Source organism: Homo sapiens, chromosome 8 (assembly GCF_000001405.40).
Source record: "Homo sapiens chromosome 8, GRCh38.p14 Primary Assembly".
In the NCBI taxonomy this organism is placed as follows: Eukaryota; Metazoa; Chordata; class Mammalia; order Primates; family Hominidae; genus Homo; species Homo sapiens.
Window position 1 is genome coordinate 47,123,926 of NC_000008.11, and position 25,792 is coordinate 47,149,717.

The 25,792-nt window shown below is 42.0% G+C and overlaps 1 long non-coding RNA gene and 1 pseudogene across 2 annotated transcripts, besides 2 other annotated features; both read right to left on the minus strand.

Annotated features, from left to right (window-relative positions):
* Window positions 1–921: 921 nt before the first annotated feature.
* On the minus strand, window positions 922–9,094 carry LOC107986885 (uncharacterized). 2 transcript variants are annotated; one of them, XR_001745708.1, is made up of 3 exons: window positions 8,941–9,094; window positions 6,387–6,457; window positions 922–993 (listed from the first exon to the last, which is right to left on the minus strand). It is a non-coding gene; the product is annotated as an uncharacterized LOC107986885 (long non-coding RNA). The 2 variants fall into 2 exon arrangements; XR_001745707.1 differs by lacking the exon at window positions 8,941–9,094 and adding an exon at window positions 7,519–8,583.
* On the minus strand, window positions 7,856–7,962 carry RNU6-819P (RNA, U6 small nuclear 819, pseudogene; annotated as a pseudogene).
* Window positions 9,880–10,380: an enhancer, noted in NCBI's record as "H3K4me1 hESC enhancer chr8:48045428-48045928 (GRCh37/hg19 assembly coordinates)". NCBI's record gives its function as "activates a minimal SCP1, AML or CMV promoter by ChIP-STARR-seq in primed H9 embryonic stem cells {active_cell/tissue: H9 hESC(primed)}" and the evidence as "EXISTENCE:reporter gene assay evidence [ECO:0000049][PMID:30033119]".
* Window positions 10,381–10,881: an enhancer, noted in NCBI's record as "H3K4me1 hESC enhancer chr8:48045929-48046429 (GRCh37/hg19 assembly coordinates)". NCBI's record gives its function as "activates a minimal SCP1, AML or CMV promoter by ChIP-STARR-seq in primed H9 embryonic stem cells {active_cell/tissue: H9 hESC(primed)}" and the evidence as "EXISTENCE:reporter gene assay evidence [ECO:0000049][PMID:30033119]".

A 25,792-nucleotide genomic window follows, 5' to 3' on the forward strand; every position in this document is an offset into this window, starting at 1 on the left:
ATTACTAACTGGAGTGTAGACACACTTTAAATTATTAGGAGCTGAAATCAACATCAAACAGAAAGAAATGCAAATTCTTAAATTTTAATTTAAATTATATACAGTAATATGATAGTGTTATGCATCTACACTATCTGCTTAAGTCCAAGTCTAATATATTCTAATGTGTACTAATGACAGTGGATAAAAATTTTTAAATAATATGTACTGATTTTCTGCAATTGAAATAAGTTAGAATGTTACTGTGATTTTACACTAACATCAAAGGTCCCATTCTGCAAAATATGATTCTTGTAATAGGCAGTTGGGTTGCTTTTATGATCTGGTTCTCTCCCTGAACAGAAACCCTGAGATCAATGACAGACCACAAGGCAGAATGCATCTTTAACCTTGGCATCAGTGACTGGCAATATGAAACTGCAGATTTTCAATCACTGGCCATGATTACTTCTTTACCATGAATCCAGCTCAGGGACCAACACTGTTACACTGTTCATAATTTCAATTGCTTAATAATATTATCCAATAATTGATGTTACTTTATCATGTTAAGGTGTTGTAAAAATAAAAGAACAAAGTTCTGGAATTTATTTTGCCTCTCTTCCAAAGGGAAAGATTAGCTATAAGCTAATCAAGAAAGCAGGTAAGAATATTTTAAATAAGAATATTTTAAATTTAATAGTGAGTCATAATGTTTAAGTTAAATAGCAAATATTAACTTAGAATCTATTGATTCTTCTGCTAATGAGGTTGCTAAATTTATTAAGGTAAACTTTAAGAATTTATTAAAAGATTCTTTAAAAAAAGAATCTATTGATTCTCAAAGCCTAGTCTGAAAGGTAATTTTATTTGGACAATCTAATATTATTAAAATACAGAAAACAACATTAAACCAGAAATCGACATTTAAAATTTTACATGCCTCATGCTGGCTATTTTCACTTCCTTTAAGCCTTTGTGGCTCTTCCTCTGATGTCAGCTTTAAGTCTTGCTCTGAAGAGAAATCCATACATTCAATTAAAATGAACCACTTAGAACAATTAAAAACTATTGCCTTTATAAAAATAGATTTAAGACATTTCATTTTATTTCATAAATTGAGCATTTAAATGAAGCTTAATCTTTCATGAAATAGTTACTTAAGAAATAATTCTCCAAAACTTCAACAAACCACTTGGGGAGACACCAGATGTCACCAGATTGAAGACATACAAACATGTCAGACATTCACTCACAAATTCATCCACCAAACATAAATGAACAAAACCACCAGAAACACAACTTTAAAATACAGTAGAAACATATAAGGTAACACAGTATATTGTTCTCCACTTCCTAATAGTACCTTATAAATGATTTCCAAAATCACTGCTGATACCTTTATTAGTGTACAATGTCTTCCTAATATCTAAAATGTTTCCCTCCACTATTCTGACAATTTTTTTTTCATCTTTTAAAACAATCCTATGTGGAGTCTTTCTTGACTCTACATGTCTTTCCCCAGATAAACAGGTACCTCTTTCCTTGAGGCTGCCTTTGTACTTTACTGATTTTTCTACTGCATCTTTACCACCTGAACTGTACATTATTGTTCCACATGTCTGTCCCCTCTGCTCCAAGACTGTAGGGGACAGTTTTGCACATCACCTTTGAATAAACAGTCTTTATTTTACTCAGCAATGTTTTATTGAGTCCTGCTACATACATACCAGGCACTAGGGTTTAAAAAGAATGAAAATAAAGCATGTCAGGGATGGCTTTTCTAGAAATCATGCCCAAGCAGAGACTTAAATATTGAGGCTAGCCAGATTAAAAGGGGCAGGGGGCAGGAAAGGGTGACAGTATGCCAGGAAGCAACAAGATAGGGAGTAAGGCCTGCAAGAGTGAATGTGTATTTGCCTACAATAGAAGGATGAGTGAGTAGGGCATTACCAGCAGTTCAGTAATGCCAGAGAAAGGGCACACAGGGAAAACAGCTAAAGATAGAGGCTGGGGCAGAAGTCAGATTATGAAAGCCTTATGTGTAATTTTAAGATGCTTGGACATTAATGTTCAAGAATGGTCTCTGGTTCTATCTGCATTAGATATAAATCACTTTAAATGCCAAAACCAATATTCCTAGTGAACCATTATTCATTAACACAAGGTAATAGATAGCTCATGTGGACACAGCTGGGATGATACTATGTAGAAAACTCTCAAAAATTGTTATGAATACTTGGAAAGTCAATTCTATAATAAAGTCATAGAAACTATAAGAAATCACTTAATATTTGTTTGAGAAGGTGCTTTCTAAAGTTATAATGCATATAAATATAACTAATAGTTGTGAATTCAGAGCTGTGAAAATAAAGCAAAGAAACCACATTGCGTTTGAGTCAGCAATCTTTAGATTTCTATATAGTTTTCCCATCTAGTCCCTAAATTCTAAATATAATCCTAGTACTCACTCTCAAATTTACTTTAAATACTAGCCTATACAAAAAATGCTCTTTCTCTTACTTTTGTTATTTTTATGTTGCTTTTGTTAAAGGAAGAACACAAAAATGCCCCACTAAAAGGGATTCTGTTTGGTTGCAGGCTGCAAGAGAGGAGGAAACACAAAGCACATTTTGCCAGAAAATGATTTTTTAGAAGTCAGAATATAATATGAAGTCAAACAGAGGCACTCTAGAACTGAATTTGCTGTGCTTCTTTAATATGTTCCTTTCTCTCTTTGTTTTCTGGCAGCTGTGACTCACGCAGGTCATGGAGAGTATCATTCCCTAAGGAAAATACAACTCCAATATACATCTTTATCTATTAAGTTCATCTGTCCCAATTCTGTGGATGCTGACTGACTTTCAGTTACTGATGGTGATACACATGGACACTTATCATCAACTTTCAGATTCTTGAATCTGTGACAATTCTTATTACTGAGAGACAAACTAGTAGGATGCCAGCTATAAATGCTGATTATCCAATTATCTACTCAAAATACAAGAATATCCCATTAAACATGCACAGAAAAAAAAAAGCAGTCATTCCTGCTGACCTGCTGCTCTTTGCTATTCTGTATTCACCAGAAAATTTCCCACTCCTTCCTCATGTCGAGGTTAAATGCTAGTGTACACCTGGAAACCTCTGAATCATCTGAGATTTCTCTCTATCCCCCAAATCTTTTTCATTCAATCATCACTAAATCATATTGACTATACCTCTCTTCTGCCTCTGCTTTATATTCTCACCGCCACTGGGAACATAAACATTTATCAAATGGCTTTTGTTTAAAAAAAACCCGCCAACTATTAATGTTATTTCTTACATGAAAAAAGAACTTAAGCAAAACAAATGAAAAAGGCATAACACCAAAAAAGGCCAACATTTTAAAATGAATAACTGAGATTCCTAACTTTATTTCACCATAGATGGGTGAAAACCTTAAATACATTGATACTAGTCCAAGGATGTATGACAAGGAAACTATAGCTGACTACTGCAAAAGCTTCCTTTGTCTCCTGGTTTCTTTACTAAAATGGTTACCTTCCATCAACCTCCATGAGGGGTCACAAACTATAGGCCACAGGCCAAATCCAGTCTGTCTTATGGTTTTTTAAATAAAATTTTATTGGATCTCAGTCATGCCTATTTGCTTACATATTATCCATAGTTGCTTTCTCACTGTGACAGCAGGGTTAAGTAGATATGACAGAGACCACATAGTCTAAAATATTTCCCACACGGTCCTTTACAGAAAAAGCCTGACGACCCCTATTTTACACCATAGCCAGAATGCCTTAACACTCCAATTTAATCTCCTGACTCCCCTGCTCAAATTTCTCCAATGAGTCCGTGCATCAGCCATTGCTGGCTCCCTACCAATAGCCATTCCTAATTCTTTCTTGCAGAAGAAACACAAATCTATTGGGATACTTATTATCCCAATATTCTTCCCCAGCTACAGAAAGAGAAACAATTATTCTAAGCTAATCACATAATTACATTTGCTTTCCCAGTGTCCAGTATGGGGATGCGCATGTGGTGTGACCCAGCCAATGAAATGTTACAGGAAGTCCACTGCATGCTTCTAAGTTTTCTCCCTATTTAAAGAAACGTGAAGAAAAGCAGCCCTTGCAACGTTGTGTTCTGAGAACAAGATGTTTGGAGCTGTTGCAGATTAGCCAGCCATGAAAGGAGATTTGAAGAAGACACTGCCAACAGCACAGCTGAAAGAGGGACAAGTGGGATTCTAGGATATCACTGAACAATCAAAACAACTCTAGTTCCTACTGTTTTAACCACTCCTCATCTAGTATTTGCAGTCCAAAGCATTCTACCTGGTAAATTTCCCATGGCCCACGGGATAAGAGCTACTCATTTCTATAGTATTAAAAATTCTATCATAAACTTGCCTTAGCTTAGTATTCACCTCATTCCCAACCTCTCATATCTCACACTTTTTGTACTAGCAAAAGTGAACTGCTCGTTAACCCTGCAAAGTTCACTCAAGCATCTTGTCTTTTGCACTTGCTGCTCTTCCTCCCATACAGGCAATCTCATTAGATGTTCCTTCTGCCAAACACACAATCTCCTTACGTGTTCTTTCTGCCAAACATCATTCTTCTGCTACTTTACCTAGAAAAAAATCTACTCACTCTGCATGCTTACCTTAAATCCTACCTACTTTTTTTTTAAAGCCTTCATTCCTAAACACATGTGTCTGGCACATAATCAATATAATATAAAACCATAAATATAAACTTCCAGTGGGCATCTAGCACACAGTAAGCTCTGAATAAAGTAGCAAAATAATAAAAATGACAATGACAACAACAAGCTCCTGTCTGTATTTTTAACTGTGTTCTGTAGCATTAAAAAAATGCTTAGTATCTAAAAGACATTTGATAGCTATTTGTTAAATAGATAGGTGAAAACATAAATAAAAATGTTTCCTTGTAAATTCTATTGAAAAAGTATAGAAATGAAATAGACACAGCTCTATTCTATTATGAGCACCTTAAAGATCAAAACTACATCTAGTCCATCTTTGTCTCCTGCAACGTACAAAACCTAACTTACAGAAGCTCTTTGATAAACATATGGCTAGGCCGGGCGCGGTGGCTCAAGCCTGTAATCCCAGCACTTTGGGAGGCCAAGGCGGGCGGATCACGAGGTCAGGAGATAGAGACCATCCTGGCTAACACGGTGAAACCCCATCTCTACTAAAAAAAATACAAAAAAATTAGCCGGGCCTGGTGGCGGGTGCCTGTAGTCCCAGCTACTCGGGAGGCTGAGGCAGGAGAATGGCGTGAACTCGGGAGGCGGAGCTTGCAGTGAGCCGAGATCGCGCCACTGCACTCCAGCCTGGGGGACAGAGAGAGAGAGACTCCGTCTCAAAAAAAAAAAAAAAAAAGATAAACATATGGTTAAATTAAAGGTGTTCTCACACAGTTTGAATTGTACAATATACTAGGTGTCCACATCCAGGTAGCATACTAGCATTTTTGTTATTATGAAACATTTTTGTACTTTTATTATAATCTGCTGAGCCTAGAGTTGGGCAATTTGTATATTTATTATGACAATCTTTTGGCGAATGGTAGCAGAGCATCTTGTTTTAACAAAATTATTGTTATCACGACAATTAGCCAGCAGGTACAAGAATACATCTTGTTCCAACAAAGTAAATATATCTCTTTCAATTTCAAATTAAAAGGAATAAAGTCAGTAACAGTGAGACCTTGCTGGTACAAGCATATGTAACATGACCTGTGCTTTGCTGTTCATGATCAAAACTTCCTTACTTTTACTTTTTATCTATGGTAGGACCACCCAGAGCAGGTATCCACAACTCCCAGGCCACAGACTGGTACCAGTCCATGGCCTTTTTGGAACCACGCCACACAGGAGGAGGTGAGCATCAGGCAAGCCAGAGAAGCTTCATCTGTATTTATAGCCATGCCCCATGGCTCATATTACCACCTAAGCTCCGCCTCCTGTCAGATCAGTGGTAGCATTAGATACTCATGGGAGCGTGAACCCTGTTGTTAACTGCCCATGCGAGGGATCTAGGTTGTGTGCTTCTTATGAGAATCTAATGCCTGATGGTCTGTCACTGTCTCCCTTTGCCCCCAGATGGGACCATTTAATTGCAGGAAAACAAGCTCAGAGATTCCACTCATTCTACATTATGGTAAGTTGTATAATTATTTCATTATATATTACAATGTAATAATAATATAAAGTAGCACAATAAATGCAATGTGCTTGAATAATTCTGAAACCATCCACACCTTCCCCTAGTCCAAGGAAAAACTGTCTTTCACAAAACCGATCCCTGGTGCCAAAAAAGCAAAAAGGTTGGGGACAATTGACCTAAAGTAATTCACTATAAGAAGTCTTACCTGGATTGCTGTTTTCAGAACAGTTTTTTGGCATCTGTTTTTCCTTATAGTCAGAAAATAATTGGCAAATTCTATGTATAAAAATGTAATAAATAAAATTATTTTAATACTGATATAAAAATACTTACCAAATGAAAAATTCTTAGAGTATTTCAAATATCAGAATATCAGAAAACAAGATTATCCCATCCACTTATGTGTACATCCTACAAACTTTTCATTAAGCTTCTAATTAAAAAAGAAAAAAGTAAGGTGAAATACTCATAAACTGAGGGCACCATGACTCAATAAATTAACTTGCATTCGCTTGACATAATAGAAAGTCCCAACTCTGAAGAAGTCCTAGCTCCATAATGAACAGCTATTTGTTCTTGGAAAATTTACTTCTCTTAGGCTCAATGTCTTCTTCTACAAAGTGAGGAATTTGCTGCCTTATTTCACTAAGCTATAAAGATTTAACAAGATAAATTTTTAAATGCTCACAGAAATAGTAAAGCAATGGAATAACCTGTTCCTAAACTTTATGACTGAAATTATCTTCGAATCCCAAATAAAACCCAATGTGTAGCTAGGCGCAGTGGCTCACACCTGTAATCCCAGCACTTTGGGAGGCCAAGGCAGGCAGATCACGAGGTCAAGAGATCGAGACCATCGTGGCCAACATGGTGAAACCCCGTCTCTACTAAAAATACAAAAAATTAGGTGGGCATGGTGGCATGCGCCTGTAGTCCCAGCTACTTGGGAGGCTGAGCCAGGAGAATCGCCTGAACCTGGGAGGCAGAGGTTGCAGTGTGCCAAGGTCGCACCACTGCACTCCAGCCTGGCAACAGAGCAAGACTCAGTCTAAAAACCTAAAGTGTATTTTGTTCATAGGTCCTAATATGCAAATGTTGTAGCTTTCAGGAAATGTTATTGTCTTTTGTTTATTAGTTGTCCTACTCTTTATGGCTTATAACTCACAGCATCTCAACTATTTCAGAGTTTATAATTAAATTTATTCATAAATATCTCATTAAAGTAGGTAACATGATTGTCCACTATTATGGAGTTTATCAATCACAACAAGGGCAGAAAACCAATGGATGGATGTCAAAACCTGGCTTGGACCAATGATCCTTCTCTACAGACTCACACTCTGAACCCGCAGATGTTTGTTAGGATAATGCTTCATATCCATGTTCATCTCCAGCTGACATGGGAGACCAAAATCCTATTTTTATTTGTTTTAGGTTCCATGAAGAAGTTGCAAATTCATTCTCTAATTTTTGAGACACATACTAACGATATATTTTGCACACAACACTCTACACATTATTCAGCTCCGGGGACATCTCATAGGCCACCTTACATGAATATTTTTGTAGCGAAAATCACAATTTCAATATTTAGATGGCACCCATTTTGCTTTGATTCACACTGTTTCCTTAGAGTTAGTGAGCAAATAGTCAAATGACCTTCCAGTGACTGTGCAAAATATGGAATGCTTCAAAAATTTGTGCAGCGTCCCTATGCAGGGGCCATGCTAATTTTCTCTGTATTGTTCCAATTTTAGGATATGTGCAGCCGAAGCAAGCACAAAGCCCCACTTTTACACATGGACAGTGATGAGTCACGAACAAGATTTGGCTCTCAGTCTAACTAACCTACTTGAGATCTCGAGAATTATCTCCAAAGGTTTCCTGTGAGGTAGAATTAGAAAATATTTTTAAATCTTGAGGAAGAGATGCAAGTAGCTTGGGAGATTTTCATTATCATGGAAAATAGATCACTCAAGGGGCCAACCACAACTGGGTGCCCACTGCTCTAGGGAAGGTTAACATGGGGCTTTCTACTGCCTAAGGTACTATACAGGATATAAAGGTGCCTCAGTGTATGTATCTGGTAGCAAAGAAGAAGAAACAAACACTGATGTCTTTCTGCCACATTATTTGAACCTCTCTGACAGTTTAGAACAAGCCCAACTAATATCTGCTAGAGAAAAGACCAACACAGGACTCAAAAGATCTCTTAACATGAAGTTCTCAGTTAAGTCTAGGATAAGATGTGGGTTCCACATCAGGTTTTGAATGTGGGGGGAATTGAAAAACTGATGGTAGGAAGGAAAAGGTATTATTCTGTAAGCTGATAGATACTGCCAATAATATTCATTTTAATGTCCCAATCACAGAGATAAAAGTCAAATTAGGCCAGGCGTGGTGTCACACCTGTAATCCCAGCATTTTGAGAGGCTGAGGTGGAATTGCTTGAGCCCAGGAGTTCAAGACCAGCCTGGGAAACATGGCAAAAACCCCATCTCTACTAAAAAAAAAAAAAAAAACTTTAAGCCAAAGGAAACTTGGGGTTCAAATGAATAGGTATTGCTCATTTTTTCAATACTTAGATTTATAGAATATATGTAAATCAGATATTTCCAATGATAAATACTAGGATTTGAAAGGCCACACCCACCTGGGGAAATTCCACTCCCACCCGGCGGGGGGAAGCCCACACCCACCCCACGCCCACCCAGGGAAGCCCACGCCCACCTGGGGAAAGGCCAAGCCCCTCCACCCACCCGCCAAGGAAACCCCCAGCCCAGCCAGGGGAATGCCAAGCCCAGCCAAGAAAAGGTCAAGCCCAGCAAAGGAATGCACAGGGAGGAAATGCCAATCCACGCGAGGACCACGAAGCGAAGCGACCAACGCCAAGCCAAGCATGGAACGCCAAGTCAAGAGACCAACACCAAGCCAAGCGACGAACGCCAAGCCAAGCCGTTACATACGCATGCGCAGAACACCAAGCCAAGCTGCTGCGGCGTGCGCGTGCGGCGTACCTCAGATGGCAAGTTACTGCACGTGGCAGTGTCCGACGTGTGCAACCCGCGTGCTTGTAAGTTCTGGTGCCACAAATGTCAGTGACAGCCTTGTGTTCCCGCCAGACCTCGTGGAAACTGGCCAAGCTTCAGGCCATTGATAAGGAGAGGCAGCCCGTGGGAAAAGGCGTCTACAAGCAGGACTGGGGCCAGAGCGCCTGGTACTTGAGGATGCTGACTGTCTCCTCTGAAGAAAGCCCCGAAGACACTCGTGGCGGTGCTGTGCCCAGGTGGCCGCGGCTGCAGGGGAGGGGCAGCCTGGCGGAACTCGCTGCAAATGGCCTCAAAATCGTGGAACATAAGCCGCCCACGGTCTCCAGGCCCTGCTGAGCGGGGGGAGGAGCACGAGCACCTACCACTGACGGTGAGATGCAGAAAGGCATCCCTATGTGCAGATCCTGGGAACAGGATGCTTTAAGCCCCAGGGAGCCAGATCAGGCAACCCTGTCAGCACAGTTGAGCTGGACCCGGGCAGTGGCTCTGTGACCCTCCTGCAGGGACCCTCCTGCTACACAGCTCCACGTGGCCAGGCTCCAGGGTGCTCACCCAAACAGCAAGCGCTTTGGTGTGGGATGAAAAATGGATTCCGAACCTAGGACACAGACCTGCTCTTGCCAACAAAAGTAGAGAGGAAGACAATTAGGAGTGCAAAAAGAATGTATTCTTTTGTAACTCAAGTCTTGCCTGATCTGGAGGGTTAAGCTAAGGCTCCTCTTGCTTGATACTAAATGAACTTTTGAATGAAATAGAGAAAAAGAAAGAAGACACACACACTAAATCGCCTTGTCCCACTGTGATCCCCTGAGCCAGCAAGCAAGGGGAGGCCTGGCCTCCTGGGCCCTCTCCCCACCTGAGGGCAGAGCAGTTTCCTCCAGGGTTGCAGGGAGCAGCTGGGCTCCGTGGGCTGGGCCACCCTTCCTTCGTTTATGGGCATCCCCACACCTGCACTCCCCCACGCAGAGTTCCATGATCTGGGTTCAAATCCCAGCTCCGACCCTCAGCACCTGTGCCACCTGGCAAATGCCTTACCCCCACGCACTTGCTGTGTCCTTCTCGACAGGAGGGATGGGAGCCGGTGTCCCTGGCATGCAGCGTTGTGACAGTCAAACACAAGCGGGAGCAGGCAGACACGTGGACAGGGGCCTGGCTGCTGGGGGTGCTCACCAGAGGGCATCAACCCATCTGCCCAGGTGGTCTTGCAAGTCTCAGCACTTATTAGGCACCTGACTATGGTAGACAGCTGAACAAAGCCCTGAGCTGCCCTGGGGAATATGACCAGGGTGATGGACCAGGAAGGACAGTTGGGGTGCTTGGCATGAGTAAGGAGGGGCCAGAGAAATGCCAGTCTCTCCCCACCAGCTATGGGTCATGGATCATCTGTATGGGGCACCCTCAGTGGGCTGAGAACCCAGAGATGCCACAAGGTTTGGCCGCATCCTAGGCTTCCTGAATTCCAGCCCAGCCATGGCCCAGGCTTGGGGGTACTTTGGGCTCTTAGTTGGGATGAGGAGGGGCCAGGTGACACTCCTCATATGTCCCAGGATCTGATCAAGAAAGTGGTGCCCTGTCACTGCCTGGGACCATCTGGTCTCAGTGAAACAATTAGGGCAGGAAGACCCTAGCACCCACCTTCTGGGCCACGAACACCCAGGTCCACAGTGTGGCCACCTGAGTCAGCACCACTTGCCTTGGGAGCCAGAGCATGAAGGCCCAGACAAGACTAGCATGGTGGAGCAGTGGATGCAGGTACGCAGGATGTGCTGTGCGGATCCAAAGGGCCCCTCTCTGGAGACTTGGGCATAACCTCTCTATCTTAAAAAAATCATTGCCTGTAATCCCAGCACTTTGGGAGGCTGAGGTGGGCGGATCATGAGGTCGGGAGATCGAGACTATCCTGGCTAACACGGTGAAACCCCGTCTCTACTGAAAATACAAAAAATTAGCCGGGTGTGGTGGCGGGCACCTGTAGTCCCAGCTACTTAGGAGGCTGAGGCAGGAGAATGACGTGAACCCAGCAGGCAGAGTTTGCAGTGAGCTGAGATCGTGCCACTGCACTCCAGCCTGGGTGACAGAGCAAGACTCCATCTCAAAAAAAAAAAAATCATTGACACCCATAATATTTTACCTATTTACCTATTTTACTCATTTATAGGGTACATACGAGTGTTTGTTACATGCAGTGAATGTGTATTCTGGCTACTTTGAAATATTGTGGCTTAGCTACCCTAGTCTGCTGTCAAACATTACACCTTATTTCTTCTAACTGTATGTTTGCACCCAATAGCCACCCTCTCTTCATTCTCACTTCCACACACCCGGTCTTCCCGGACTCTAGTATCTGCCATTGTATTCTCTGTGTCCATGAGATCAAGTTTTTTTAGCTCCCACATGTGAGTGAGAACCTGCAGTATCTGTCTTTCTGTGCCTGGCTTATTTCACTTAACATAATGACTTCCAGATCTATCCATGTTTTTGCAAATGATATGATTTCATTATTTTTTATTGCCAAATAGTATTCTATTGTATACATTTTGCACATTTTACTTAGCTATTCATTTGTTGATGGACACTTGGGTTGATTCTGTATCTTTGCTATTGTGAATAGTGCTGTGATAAACATGACAATGCAGGTATCCCTTTGCTACACTAAATTTTTATTTATTTATTTATTTATTTTTTAGAAAGAATCTCACTCTGTCACCCAGTCCGGAGTTGAGTGGTGCAATCTCGCCTCACCGCAAGCTCCACTTCCTGGGTTCAAGTGATTCTCCTGCCTCAGCCTCCCCAGGTAGCTGGGATTACAGGTGTGCACCACAACGCCTGGCTAATTATTTTTTGTATTTTTAGTGGAGATGGGGTTTCTCCATGTTATCCAGGCTGGTCTCAAACTCCTGACCTCAAGTGATATACCTGCCTTAGCCTCCCAAAGTGCTGGGATTACAGGCATGAGCCACCACGCCCGGCCTGAACTCTTTCCTTTGGATAAATACCCAGTAGTGGAAACGTTGGACCATACAGTACTTCTATGTTTAAGTTTTTTAGAATTCTCCATACTGGTTTCCATCGTGGTTATACTGATTTGCATTCCTACTGACAGTATAACAGAGTTTCCATTTCTCTGCATTCTCACCAGCATCTGTTATTTTTTGTCTTTTTAATAATAGCCATTCTGAGGTGAGATGATACCTCATTGTGGTTTTGATTTGCATTTCCCTGATCAATGATGTTGAGAATTTTCTCATATACCTGTTAGCCATTTGTAAGTCTTTTGAGAAATGTCTATTCCTGTCCTTGGCCCATTTTCAATGGGATTGTTTTGTTACTTTTGAGGAATTTGAGTTCCTTGTATACTCTGCATATTAGTCCCCCGTCAGATGAGTAATTTGCAGTTATTTTCTCCCATTCAAGAGGCTGTCTCTTCATGTGTTGTTTCTTTTCCTGTGCAGAAGCTATATCCCAGTCATCTATTTTTGCTTTTGTTGCCTGTGCTTTTGAGATCTCAGCCATAAATTATTTGCTAAACCAATGTCCTGAAGAGTTTTCCCTATGTTTTTTTCTAGCAGTTTCATAGTTCCAGGTCTTACATTTAAGTCTTTAATCTATCTTGAGCTGGCTTGTATCTTCTACCTGAGAAATGGAAGAAGTTCAGAATGATTATGCTGAGATAGTAAGAAGACTGTGCATAGCTAGAAATAATGGTCAGGAGAAAGCCATTGTGTGTTAATAAGGGGGCATTTTTTGTTTGTTTTTGAGATGGAGTCTCACTGTGTCACCAGGCTGGAGTGCAGTGGTGCGATCTTGGCTCACTGCAACCTCTGCCTCCTAGGTTCAAGCAATTCTCCTGCTTCAGCCTCCCGAGTAGCTGGGACTACAGGTGTGCACCACCACACCTAGCTAATTTTTGTATTTTTAGTAGAGACGGGGTTTCACCATGTTGGCCAGGATGGTCTAGATCTCTTGACCTTGTGATCTGCCTGCCTTGGCCTCCCAAAGTGCTGGGATTACAGACATGAGCCACTGCCCCTGGCCAATAAGGGGGTATTTTTGTATATTTCTTTCTCAGAAACAAAGAGGCCAATTCCACATCGAAATTAAATGTATGATTTTCAAAAAGGACGCCTTGAGAATCTAACCAAATCTAACCCTTATTTAAAATTACTTGGTAAACTATGTCACTTTAGGTAGAGGAAGATAAGAATTACAGGAAGTTGAATTCTTGAAAAATCCACAAAAATGTACTGTGCTTGGTGAGAAACTTGTAAAAGTGATTGCCCCTTTACCATGATTTGATATGAAAAATACTGTAATATGCCTGCCTGCTTGCCTTCCTTTCTTTTTCTTTCTTTAGTTCTTTCTTTCTTTCTACAGTCTCCCTCTGTTGCCGAGGCTGGACTGTACTGCCGTGATCTCGGCTAGCTGCAACCTCCCTGCCTCGGGCTCCCGTGATTCTCCTGCCTCGGCCTGCTGACTGCCTGGGATTGCAAGCACGTGCCGCCACTCCTGACTGGTTTTTGTATTTTTGGTGGAGAGGGGGTTTCGCCGTGTTGGCAGGGCTGGTCTCCAGCTCCTGACCTCGAGTGATCTGCCCGCCTCAGCCTCCCGAGGTGCTGGGATTGCAGACGGAGTCTCGCTCACTCAATGCTCAATGTTGCCCAGGCTGGAATGCAGTGGTGTGATCTCGCTACAACCTCCACCTCCCAGCCGCCTGCCTTGGCCTCCCAAAGTGCTAAGACTACAGCCTCTGCCCGGCCACCACCCCGTCTAGGAAGTGAGGAGCGTCTCTGCCTGGCCGCCCATCGTCTGGGATGTGAGGAGCCCCTCTGCCTGGCCACCCCGTCTGGGAAGTCAGGAGCGCCTCTGCCCAGCCGCCGCCCCATCTAGGAAGTGAGGAGCGTCTCTGCCTGGCCGCCCATCGTATGGGATGTGAGGAGCGCCTCTGCCCAGCGGCCCCCTCTGGGATGTGAGGAGCACCTCTGCCAGGCCGCCCCGTCTGGGAAGTGTACCCAACAGCTCTGAAGAGACAGCGACCATGGAGAATGGGCCATGATGACGATGGCGGTTTTGTCTAAAAGAAAAAGGGGGAATGTGGGGAAAAGAGAGATCAGATTGTTACTGTGTCTGTGTAGAAAGAAGTAGACATAGGAGACTCCATTTTGTTCTGTACTAAGAAAAATTCTTCTGCCTTGGGATGCTGTTAATCTATAACCTAACCCCCAACGCCGTGCTCTCTGAAACATGTGCTGTGTCAACTCAGGGTTAAATGGATTAAGGGCGGTGCAAGATGTGCTTTGTTAAACAGATGCTTGAAGGCAGCATGCTCATTAAGAGTCATCACCACTCCCTCATCTCAAGCACCCAGGGACACAAACACTGCGGAAGGCCGCAGGGACCTCTGCCTAGGAAAACCAGAGACCTTTGTTCACGTGTTTATCTGCTGACCTTCTCTCCACTATTATCCTATGACCCTGCCACATCCCCCTCTCCGAGAAACACCCAAGAATGATCAATAAATACTAAAAAAAAGAAAAGAAAAGAAAAGAAAAATACTGTAATATATCACTACTTTTATTTGATAAGATTTTAGCTGATTAAAGTTTTGGTCTTAATTGCTATTTTACAAAATAGATGCTCACTCTGAGCATACACTTCTACAATCAGTTTTAGGAACTTAAAATTTTTATATAATTTCATATGTTGTTACAAGAATAGTACCAAGAATGCTCCTTCTTCTCTTAATCGGGACTCACCAATTTCTAACATTTTGTTCCATTTTGTATCATTTGTCTATTTACATACCTTTTTTTTAGTAATTTGAGAGGAAATTATGGACATAATCACCCCTAGGTGTGTATTTCCTAAGAATAAGGGTATTTTTTTTTTTTTTTTTTTGAGATGGAGTCTACCTCTGTCACCCAGGCTGGAGTGCAGTAGTGCGATCTCTACTCACTGCAAGCTCCGCCTCCCAGGTTCCTGCCATTCTCCTGCCTCAGCCTCCAGAGTAGCTGGGACTACAGGTGCCCGCCACTACATCCGGCTAATTTTGTATAGTTTTAGTAGAGACAAGGTTTCACCTGTGTTAGCCAGGATGATCTTGATCTCCTGACCTCGTGATCTGCCCACCTCGGCCTCCCAAAGTGCTAGGATTACAGGCGTGAGCCACCACACCCAGCCAGAATAAGGGTATTCTTTTACCCAACTCCAGAATAATTATTAAAATTGTGATTTTTTGGGGGGAGGGGGGATGAGGTGTTGCTCAGTCTGGAGTGCAGTGGCACGATCTTGACTCACTGCAGCCAGTGAGCTACCTCAGCCTCTGGAGTTGCTGGGACTATACGTTTGTGCCACCATGCCCCGCTAATTTTTGTATTTTTGGTAAAGATGGAAGGGGGGGAATCTCACCATGTTGCCCAGGCTGGTCTCCAACTCCTGGCCTCAAGCAATCCTCCCACCTCACGCTCCCAAAATGCTAGGATTACAGGCCTGAGCCACCATACCTGGCCTGATCCCAGTTTTAGAAAAACCCTGTATCTAAGTGTACGGATATGTTGGGTAATCACTATCAAATTTTGGAAACTTTGCTTTTTTATATAATCAGAAGGATTCCATAAATGTACTTTGACTTGAAATAATATTTTCTTGAAGCCAGATATACATAGCTGTGACCTGGACTAGTTCATCTCATCACCTCCCCTCCCCACACCCTGCAGGTCCTGAGGTCAGTGGCCTTCCTGCCTGAGTCTTGGCTGCCTATGCTGCTGGCCATGGGTGAGAGGACAGCCTGCCCAATGAATGTCAGTGTGCTTGTTGTTTGTGTGCTTCTGTTGCATTTCCTGTATCTCGTTTTTTGCTTTTCCCATCTCTGTTTCTCCCTTTCCTCCCTGAGGCCTGCACTGGCAGTGCACTACCCACCTCTGAGTGGAGGGCAAGCCAGGCCCATGGCCATATGATCCACTCCCTCAGAAACACTCAGTTATACCTATTTGAATTAATGACTGGAAGCCCATGTGTTTAGAAATTTCACTTTCAATAATAGACTCTGCCCTACCACCCTATTGCAGGCATGGCAAATTATTGCAAGGAATGCACATACTACATCCAGTCCTATCAGCAACTGACTAAAGCCTTTCCCATAATAGCATCCTAAACAACCTTTTAATGACATTCTGTCAGCAGATTTTTTCTATTGGAGAAAACACTAGAGAAAAACTGCTTGAGTTTTGTTGGAAGAGACTGTATCTGGAACGGTGAGCAACAAATACAGCATTAAAACCAAGACGTCAATACTTGGGTTCATATTTCACAACTAAAAAAGAAATTCAGAATTCCACACAATTGGAAGACTACTCAAATAGAAAATCTCAAAGTGAGGATTCTCAGAGATCCTCCAGGAGCAACTGATCTGCACAAGCAGACAACTGACCCAACACCTTCAGAATAAGCAATGACAGTGGACGGTGGATAGCTTCTGTCTAACACATCAGACCAAGACTCCTAATTCCTGTTTTGGTTTTTACCTGCTTGCTTATAACCATCCTTCTCATTTTCTATAGACCCCTTTTTGTCATTCATTCAGAATGACTCTTTTGCTCTTTTTTCCATCTTTATTATAAGAGTTAGGTCAGAACATACTCATTCTAATGCCATTCTTAGATAATCCCAAAGAGTAGCCACTGTCCTCAATCCTCCTGACTGCTAGATATGCTGGATAAACTTCTGGCAATTCTGGTTTCATCAGATGGGACCACAGGCATCATAGCGAATGGCATTTTCACTTGCACCTACATTGACAGTTAACCCTAAAAAAGTCAACCTGTGACTTGCTAGAGTCCCTTTCTTCCAGAAAGATAATGACTAATATCAATGCCAATGATTGGTCATTTTGCCAATAAGAATAATTGGTTATCTTACCATTTGTTACAATCTATTGATCAGACCCTCAGTAACTATAAATTTGAATTCACCAGACTTTGTAGGGCAATAGGCCAAATACCTGCCACAGAGAAGAGACTAACAGAGTTCCAACTATATAACCTAGCTGGTGTAAGGCCTTAGTTTTTACACTGTGAACAACTTATCTCCCTGGTTTCTGTGTACGCCTGCTAAATACTTCCTTTGTGGCCAGAACAGATGGTCCTATTTGCCTCAGACTAACACTTTATCCACTTTGGTAGAAAGAGTACTTCGAGAATTGTCTATATATACACAGACCCTAAATATATAATGGGCAAGACTGGAAATCCAACTCAGATATGAGCTCCAAAATGAGTCCACTCAACTATTCAGAGCTACTACCTGGAGAAATTACTGACTCATTGTTTATGTGAACAATGAGGGCAGTGTTCCCAGTGGTGGGAGTCACACAAATAGTAACGAGAGTAAAAAACCTATTACTAACTGTAGACGTTACTGATGACAGCACCTCTGCCCAAGATGAGGTAGAGCTAGACAATCACAGTGCTCTGGAGTTCTTGTCGCCTTCATGACAGCGTCTGTGCCATTAACACTTCTTGTGTTTGATCGATGAAAGAGGCAAGGTGGAGTCTGCTTTCAGGGTAGCAAACTCTGAATAAATGGGCTTTCCTTTTCTCATTTGGGTGGTCTTTATTTCCACAAACAGTCCATAAAATGAAAGGTTCTGTGCTATTTTAGAAGAATGTCTAGGAGTAACTGTGATAATCCCCTTCCCACACCCCCAGCTTTCCAGCCATGGACAGGAGCTTTTTCCTCTCTGTGGACTCAGCTTCAAGTCATCATGAAGCCACTGCAATGCCTCCTGCAGTGGAACCTGAGAAAACGAAGCTCTTGGCCTTATTCTGGAGGTGGCACCCAAGTCTCGAGAACAACACGCATGTGTGCCAGGCAGCAAAAGAAAGGGCAAGTTCTCATCCCCTGCAGGCTGCAGGGTGCAGCACAGGATGCTCAGAGCTCACTATTCAGTGTATGTCTGCTAACCACTGCCTGCCTCTTGCTATACTGCTGAAATTCTCAATGCCTTGGTCTTTCTGCTTTCTTGGCTGTCACATTGGCACATTCTGTGGTTCTATGAAATGACTCAAAAGGATCTCTCTCAATCATGTCTGAGTAGCAAAACTGACTTCAAGTATCCTGAAAACAGAGGAGGTGAAAATCCAGAAGACAGGGCCACCTATTTCCTCCGTCTGATGATCTAGCCTGTCTTAAACCAGAGGACCACAGTGCATCTTGTGATCTCAGCCTCCTGGATCAGTCATTGTCTAGCTTTGATCATAACCATGAGAAACTGGAGCAGAAGATGAATGTGGAGAATGCTCTGGCTTGTCCTTATCCTGGAAAATTATTGTCCAGCAAATATGTAGCTGTCTAAAGCAGTAGAAGACAGCTGGTGTACCTCGTCATAGGAAGCACTGAAGAGTGCTTTTTCTTTCATCTAGCAAGTCTCAATTCTTGTTTATATTCTAAATCAGAACATAAAATCATGGGCCAGGACTGTATAGAGCAAACATAAATTCTATACACATATACATGGCCAGGACTCACTTAAATGGCTATATATAGGAGCAAAGAGGCTGGGAAGCAACGGCCAACACAGTTAACACACAGCCTACAGGAGGGGAGAAAATGTGCCCAAACTGTGCGTCTCCACCAAGTCCTAGTAGCTAGAATCTACAAGGACCTTACATAAATCATAACAGCAGCATTTCACGCCAGTCAGAACAGCCACTAGTCCAAAGTCAAAAGAGAACATGCTGGAGAGGTAGCGGAGGAAACGAAACTCTGTTACACTCTTGGTGGGAATGCAAAATTGACCTCATACTGCAGAAAGCAGTTTGAAGACTTCTCAATAATAGAGAAAAAATAAATAAATAAATAAATAAATGGATGGAAAGCAACTACCCTCCAACCAAGCAATCCTGGGTATCCTTTGGGTATCTACCCAAAGGAAAATAAATGTTTCTATCAAGAAGGACACACACCCTCGCACGTTCACAGGAGTGCTATTCCCAAGTGGGAAGATGTGGAAATAACCTAGGTGCCCACCAAGAGTAAATAAGATTTGAAAAAATGTGATACCTTTGCTAAAAGGCCAGCAAGGATGATCAAACACAAACAAAATCATGCCCCCGGCAGCAACATGGATGGAATTGGAGGCCACTAGGCTGGGTGAACTAAGGCAAGAACAAAAAACCAAGTAATGCAGGTTCTCACTGACAAGCAGAAGCTAAACACCAAATACGCCCGAACATAAAGATGAAATCAACAGGTGCTGGGGATGACCAGACAGGAAAAGGATGGAAACAGAAAGCCCTGGAGGAAGAACAACCCCACTGGTACTGTCTCCACAGCCCAGGTGACAGGTGCGTTGGGATCCCAAGCTTCAGCATCCTGCTGTATAGCCACGTAGCTGGCCTGCAGGTGTACCCCTTGATCACAATAAAAGTAGCTGTTGTTTTAGAAAATCCAGGTTTGGAACTAAAAATAGGAAAAAGTAAATAAAACAAGAAAACGCACACGAAGCAAAACAAAACAAAGCCTATAGTAACCTAACCCACACATTAGTGGCATAAACTTAGGAAGATAACCGACTGGACAAAACAAGGGGCCATATAATCAACCCAAAATTACAGACAGTGAACACATTTCTCACCCTCCCCACCTCACCCTGGGAAGCATGCCAAAGGCACAGTGGTTGAAAAAACCAGGTATTCATGTGCAGAGGACTGAAATAAACCCTTCTGTTGCACAAGATCCAAAAAGCAACATAAAGTCCACCAAACATGTAAGTGCAATCCTGAAACCAAAAAACTCCAAGGAAAATGCACAGGGTGAGCATCAATTTTGGGGAAACTTGAATCCCTACACCTAAGCTGCAAACAGGAAAGGAAAACATAGGAGCCAAATACCCACAGACCGTACAATGGCTTCGCCATCTCCCTTCTCAATAGGACACAGAAATCACTGCTAACGAAAGCAAATATAACCACGTGGGGCTAAGGACAACTAACTTCCCAGAGAGAAAACAGCAAACCCAAACTGAAGCCATCCTACAGACTGGGAAAAAATTATGGAAAAATCATGGAAGAGCCTGTTATCTAACATACTTCAGAAACTAATGGTTCTAAATGGGCAAAACATAAAAACCCATACACAAGCTGAAAATGCCCAGAGGACCTGCGTGGACATTTCTTAAAAGAAGACCTTACGTTGACTCTTGGGTAACAGAAAAATTTCTTCACATCAGCAATCATCCCCCAAATGTAAATCCCAACCACCCACACTCACATACTGTCCAACTTCCCTGGAGGATGAGTATGACCAGAAAGAGCAATAAATTTTTCTGAAGGCAAGGGCTAGTGTATGTAGACTTGCAGACACAGGAACTCTTATCTCCTATTGGTGGTAATGTAAACTCCCATAAACACTAGGAAAAACATCTGGAGGTTTCTGAAAGAATCAGCAGTACAACTACCAGTTCTTCATCTAGCCATCCCAACACTGGGTATACCTGTAAAGCAGAAGAAATTCATACCTTAAGGAGATACCTGCCTTCCCATGTTTCATGAGGCACTAGAGACAATAATCAAGGTACGGAGTCAACCTACCTGTCCATCCACAGATGAAGACATGCAGAAACTGAAGGATATATGCACAAGAGAATACTCTTCAGCCATCAAACTTCTGGACATCAGGTCACTTCCAGCAAGGTGAAGAAACCTGGAGGACATTAAGTTAAATGAAATAAGCCAAGCAGAGGAAGGCAAACACAAATTCTGCATGATCTCCCCAACATGAGAATCTGACAAAGTCAATCTTCTCACAGAGGTATCCATGTCAATAGTGGGTACCAGAGGCTGGGGGGAGGACTGGAAACAGCTACAAAGTGACACTTAGATGAGAGGCAGGAATTCTGGTGTTCTACAGCACAGCAGGGTGACTAGGCTTAATAATATCCTAGCATAATATCCCACAGAGTGGGCAGGGAGGATTCGGAATGCTCTCCCCACCAAGAAATCATGTCTGTAGCATGAAACAGAAATGAGCTAGGTCCTGCAGGTTGATCATGACACTAGTGGTACATATGTCAGAAGGTCCCCTGCACCCTTTAAGTACACACATAGACCATGTGGAAATTCTTGTTTTCACAACAGGATCACAACACCCTACTAAAAATCCTGCGGGACAATGAAACGCCCTGCATCCCCAAAGCAGTTCCTACACATACAAACTTGGTAGAGTGCATCACATGCCTCCATTTTAAATTACTTTGCAAAGCCTTAGCTACCCAAACTATATATGTGATTGGCATTAACAGGGTAACACAGGCCAACGGACACGATGAGGGTGCCAAGGGGCAAACCCAAATTGATGTGGAGTGAGCACATGTTGGAAAAGAATCCCAAAAGTCACCACAGGAAGGGAGAGCCTGTTCATCGCATCATTCTGAAAATGCGAGATCCCTAGTAAAATAACAAAAAGGGGTTCCTACTGTGTGAAATTCACAATAATCCATTCAACATGGACGTAAGACCTACACACAAAACTGGAAGCCATCACTCTCCTAGGAGAAAGCGTCTGGTATGCAGATACCTGGGTCAACCTGGATCTGTGCTTATGCTTTGCAAAAAGGAAAACAAAAAATATAGGGGAAAGAAAAGAATACAAACAATCAAAACTCACTGACAATGGATTGGTATGCTAGTGGATTGCTTTTACTTCACCAGTCACCAAGGGAAAATCAAAACTTTGCACACATGTGAAACCACATCAGATTGTATGGCTTGTGTGCAAGAAAGAATAAAAACAGTGAATGAAAAGAAAAAAACATCTAAAGGATGATAGGAGAATTCTGAGGAAAAACACAGCTATTGAGGCATTTTTTGGAAAACATATAAGTAACTAACACTACTAAAACAATGAATGAAAAGGAAAAACATCTGAAGGATAAGAGAATTTGAAGGGAAAACACAGCTATTGATGCATTTTTTGGAAAATGTGTAAGTAACACTACTAATTAGCAGAAAACAACAGAAAAGAGAAAGTAATTACTGAGCCAAAACTGAGCAAAGAACCTGAATAGCCTTTTCTGCAAAGAACACAAAAAATTGAAAACAAGTTTACCAACACTTAGTTAACATCACTAATCATGGGAAAAAAATGAAAATCAGAACAAGATCAGATACCCTGTCCTTCTCGGTGGAATGAATATTACAAAGGCCTTCATATATTTTAAAACAAGGGAAACCACAAACACTTGTGTGAATCTCCAGAACAGGGAGCTCTCTTATCCATAATTGTTGACAAAGTAAATTAGTATGCAAACTACAGAGACCAGTTGGAGGTTCCACAGAAAACTAAAAATACAACTACCATTTCCTTTAGCTTTGCTACTGCTGGGTGTGCAGTGGAAGCACTTGAAACCAGTACATGGAAGTGGTATCTGCCTTCCCATACTGACTGTGGCACCAGTCACAAAAGACAAGATAAGGAATCAACCTACCTGTCCACCCACAGAGAATGAGATCCAGAAACCGCAGTACCCATTCACAAATAAATACTCTTCAGCTAGACATGCATACTGAAATCATGTCATTCACAGCAACATAGTGGAACCTGGAGGACATTATCGTAAATGAAACACATTAGGCCAAGAAAGGCAAACCTCACATCATCATCATCTCACTCATGAGGACTACAAGACACTTTATCTCACATAGACCTAGAAAGCACCATAGTGCTTGCCAGGGTTGGAGTGGAAGGTGGGGCATGGGCAGGGATAGGAAATGGGTACATAGTGACAAGTTCCATAAGAGGAATGAAACCTGCTGTTCTATTCCTCAGCAGAGTGACTAGGGCTAACATTATCAGAGGGTAGTTTCCAAGACAGCCAGAAAGGAGGGTTCTGGCCGTCCTCACCTCAAAGACATGATAACTCTACAAGGCAAAAATAGATGCTAAATACCCTGATTTCATCACTATGCAATGCATGCATGGACCCAAATGTCCCACTCTAACCTCTATTTGTACACATTTATGTATGGGCCAATTTTGTTTTTTGAAAGCAATGTAAAGAAACAATGATAAAATTCCTGTGGGACCACAAAACTCCCTGAAACTGCAAAGCCAAGCTGGAAGATCCAGACAACGTCAGATGGACCACACTCCCTGATTTCAAATTTCATGACAGAGATATAGACCTGCCTCCACCTGGACAGAATAGAGAACCTGGAAGTAATCCCACACACCTACAACCATCTGACCTTTGAAAAGACTCAAAACTCAGCAATGGAGAAAGGACTCCCTGTGCAATGAATGGTACTAGGAAAGGCAGCTAGACACATGCAAAAGATTAACACTGGAGCCCTACCTGTCACCATATGCAAAAATTGACTCAAGGTGAGCAAAAGATTTCAGAAGAAGACCTCAAACTATAAAAGTCCTAGAAGAAAACCTAGGAAATACCTTTCTCAACATAGGCTTTGGTAAAGCATTTAGATAACTTAGTCCCTAAAAGCAACAGCAAGAAAAACCAAAATAAAAAGGTTGGGCCTAAGAAACTGAAAGACTGCCAGATAGCAAAAGAAATCACCAGCACAGTAAATGCCTATATAGCCTACAGGATGGGAGAAAATGTTCCCAAACTATGCTTCTGACCAAGGTCTAATAGCCAGACTGTAACATGACCTTAAAAAAATCAAGAGTCAGAAAAACAAATAATCCAATCAAACAATGGGCAAAGGACATGATGTACAAGCAGCCAACAGAAGAAAAAATGCTCAACATCACTAATCGTCAGAGAAATGCAACTCATGCACACACTGAAATACCATCTTACACTACTCAGAATGGCCATTTGTCCTAAGTCCAAACATTAACATGGTGGCGAGGCAGCAGAGGAAAGCGAACACTGCTACGCTCTTGGTGGGAATAAAAACCAGCTGTCACACTGTGAGAAGTGGTTTGAAGTTTACTCAAAGAACTTAAAACAGAACTACCATCTGAATAGAGCAATCCCACAACTGAGTATCTACACAAAGGGAAATAAAGCCTTCTTTCAAAATGACACATACACTGGTATGTTCTTGGAAGTGCTATTCATAAGAAAAAACAAAACAAAATAAAATCAACCTATGTGCCCATTAACAGTTGATGATTAGGTTTTTACACTTGCAGTACATGGACACCAAAAACTCCTACACAGCTTAAAAAATTTTCTTGTCCTCAACAGCAACAAGGATGGACCTGGAGGCCACTATGCTAAGCAAAGTAATGCAAGAACAGAAAATCAAATACCACATGTTCTCATTTATACACTGAAGCTAAACACCGAACACACCCACAGATACTGGGGACTACCAGACAGAGAACGGAGGGAGACAGTAAATGTTGGTGGAAGAACCATCTGATTGGTACTGTGCTCACTGCCTGGGTGATGGGGTTCCTTCGGAACCCAAGCTTCACTATCCTGCCATATACCCATGTGGCCAACCTGCAAGGTGCACCCTTTAATCAAAATACAAGTAGGTATTATTTTAGAAATCAAGATTAGGAGCTGAAAAAAAAATTATTAAGGAAGAGGAAACCTAGAGTGATCCAAACGATCTGCTACTGGCACACACACAGAAAAACAACTGAATGAACAAAATGAGGAAGCCAAATAAGCAACCCAAAATTATATATAGTTAAAATATTTTGCAAAAGCTCACCAAAGGCATAACAGTTGAGAAAACTGGATATTCCTGTGCAAAAGACTGAAACAGTTCTCTTATGCTGCACAATATGCAAAAACATAAAATCAATTGAACACCCAAATCCAATTCTGAAACCAAAAACTCCAAGGAAAAAACACAGGGTCAGTGTATATTTTGGGGAAACTTGAATCTGTGCACACAGGTTGCAAAGGAGAAATTTTAAAAAACAAAAGGAAAAATTAGGGGGAAAATACCCATAGACAATACAATGATTTGCCATCTTTTTTTCGTGATGGAACACAGAAATCACTGCTGACAAAACCAAATATAAACATGTGAGACAAACACTTTAGAGCTTCTGCATGGGACAGAAAACAATGAACCCAAAGAGACAGCATCCTACCTTGGGAGAAAGACTGACTGGAGGAAAACTGTGGAAAATCATAAATTTGAAAGCGGTTGTTATCCAACATATTCAAACACTAAAGCTACTAAGTGGGGAAAAGATTTTAAAAAATACACAAGCTAAAAATGTGCAAAGGGCCAGCACAGCCACTTCTTCAAGGAAGACATGAAACTGATTCACAAGTGAAACAAAAGTTTCTCCACATCACTAATCACTCCAAACATGTATGTCAGAATCACACTCAGATACCATCAAACTTCACCGAGAATGAATATGACCATAAACAGCAATAAAATTTTTGGAAGGCAGCAGTGTAGACTTGAAAAAGGGAAACTCAGCCGGGCGCGATGGCTCACGCCTGTAATCCCAGCACTTTGGGAGGCCGAGACGGGAGGATCACGAGGTCAGGAGATCAAGACCATCCTGGCTAACATGGTGAAACCCCATCTCTACTAAAAATACAGAAAAAGAATTAGCCGGGTGT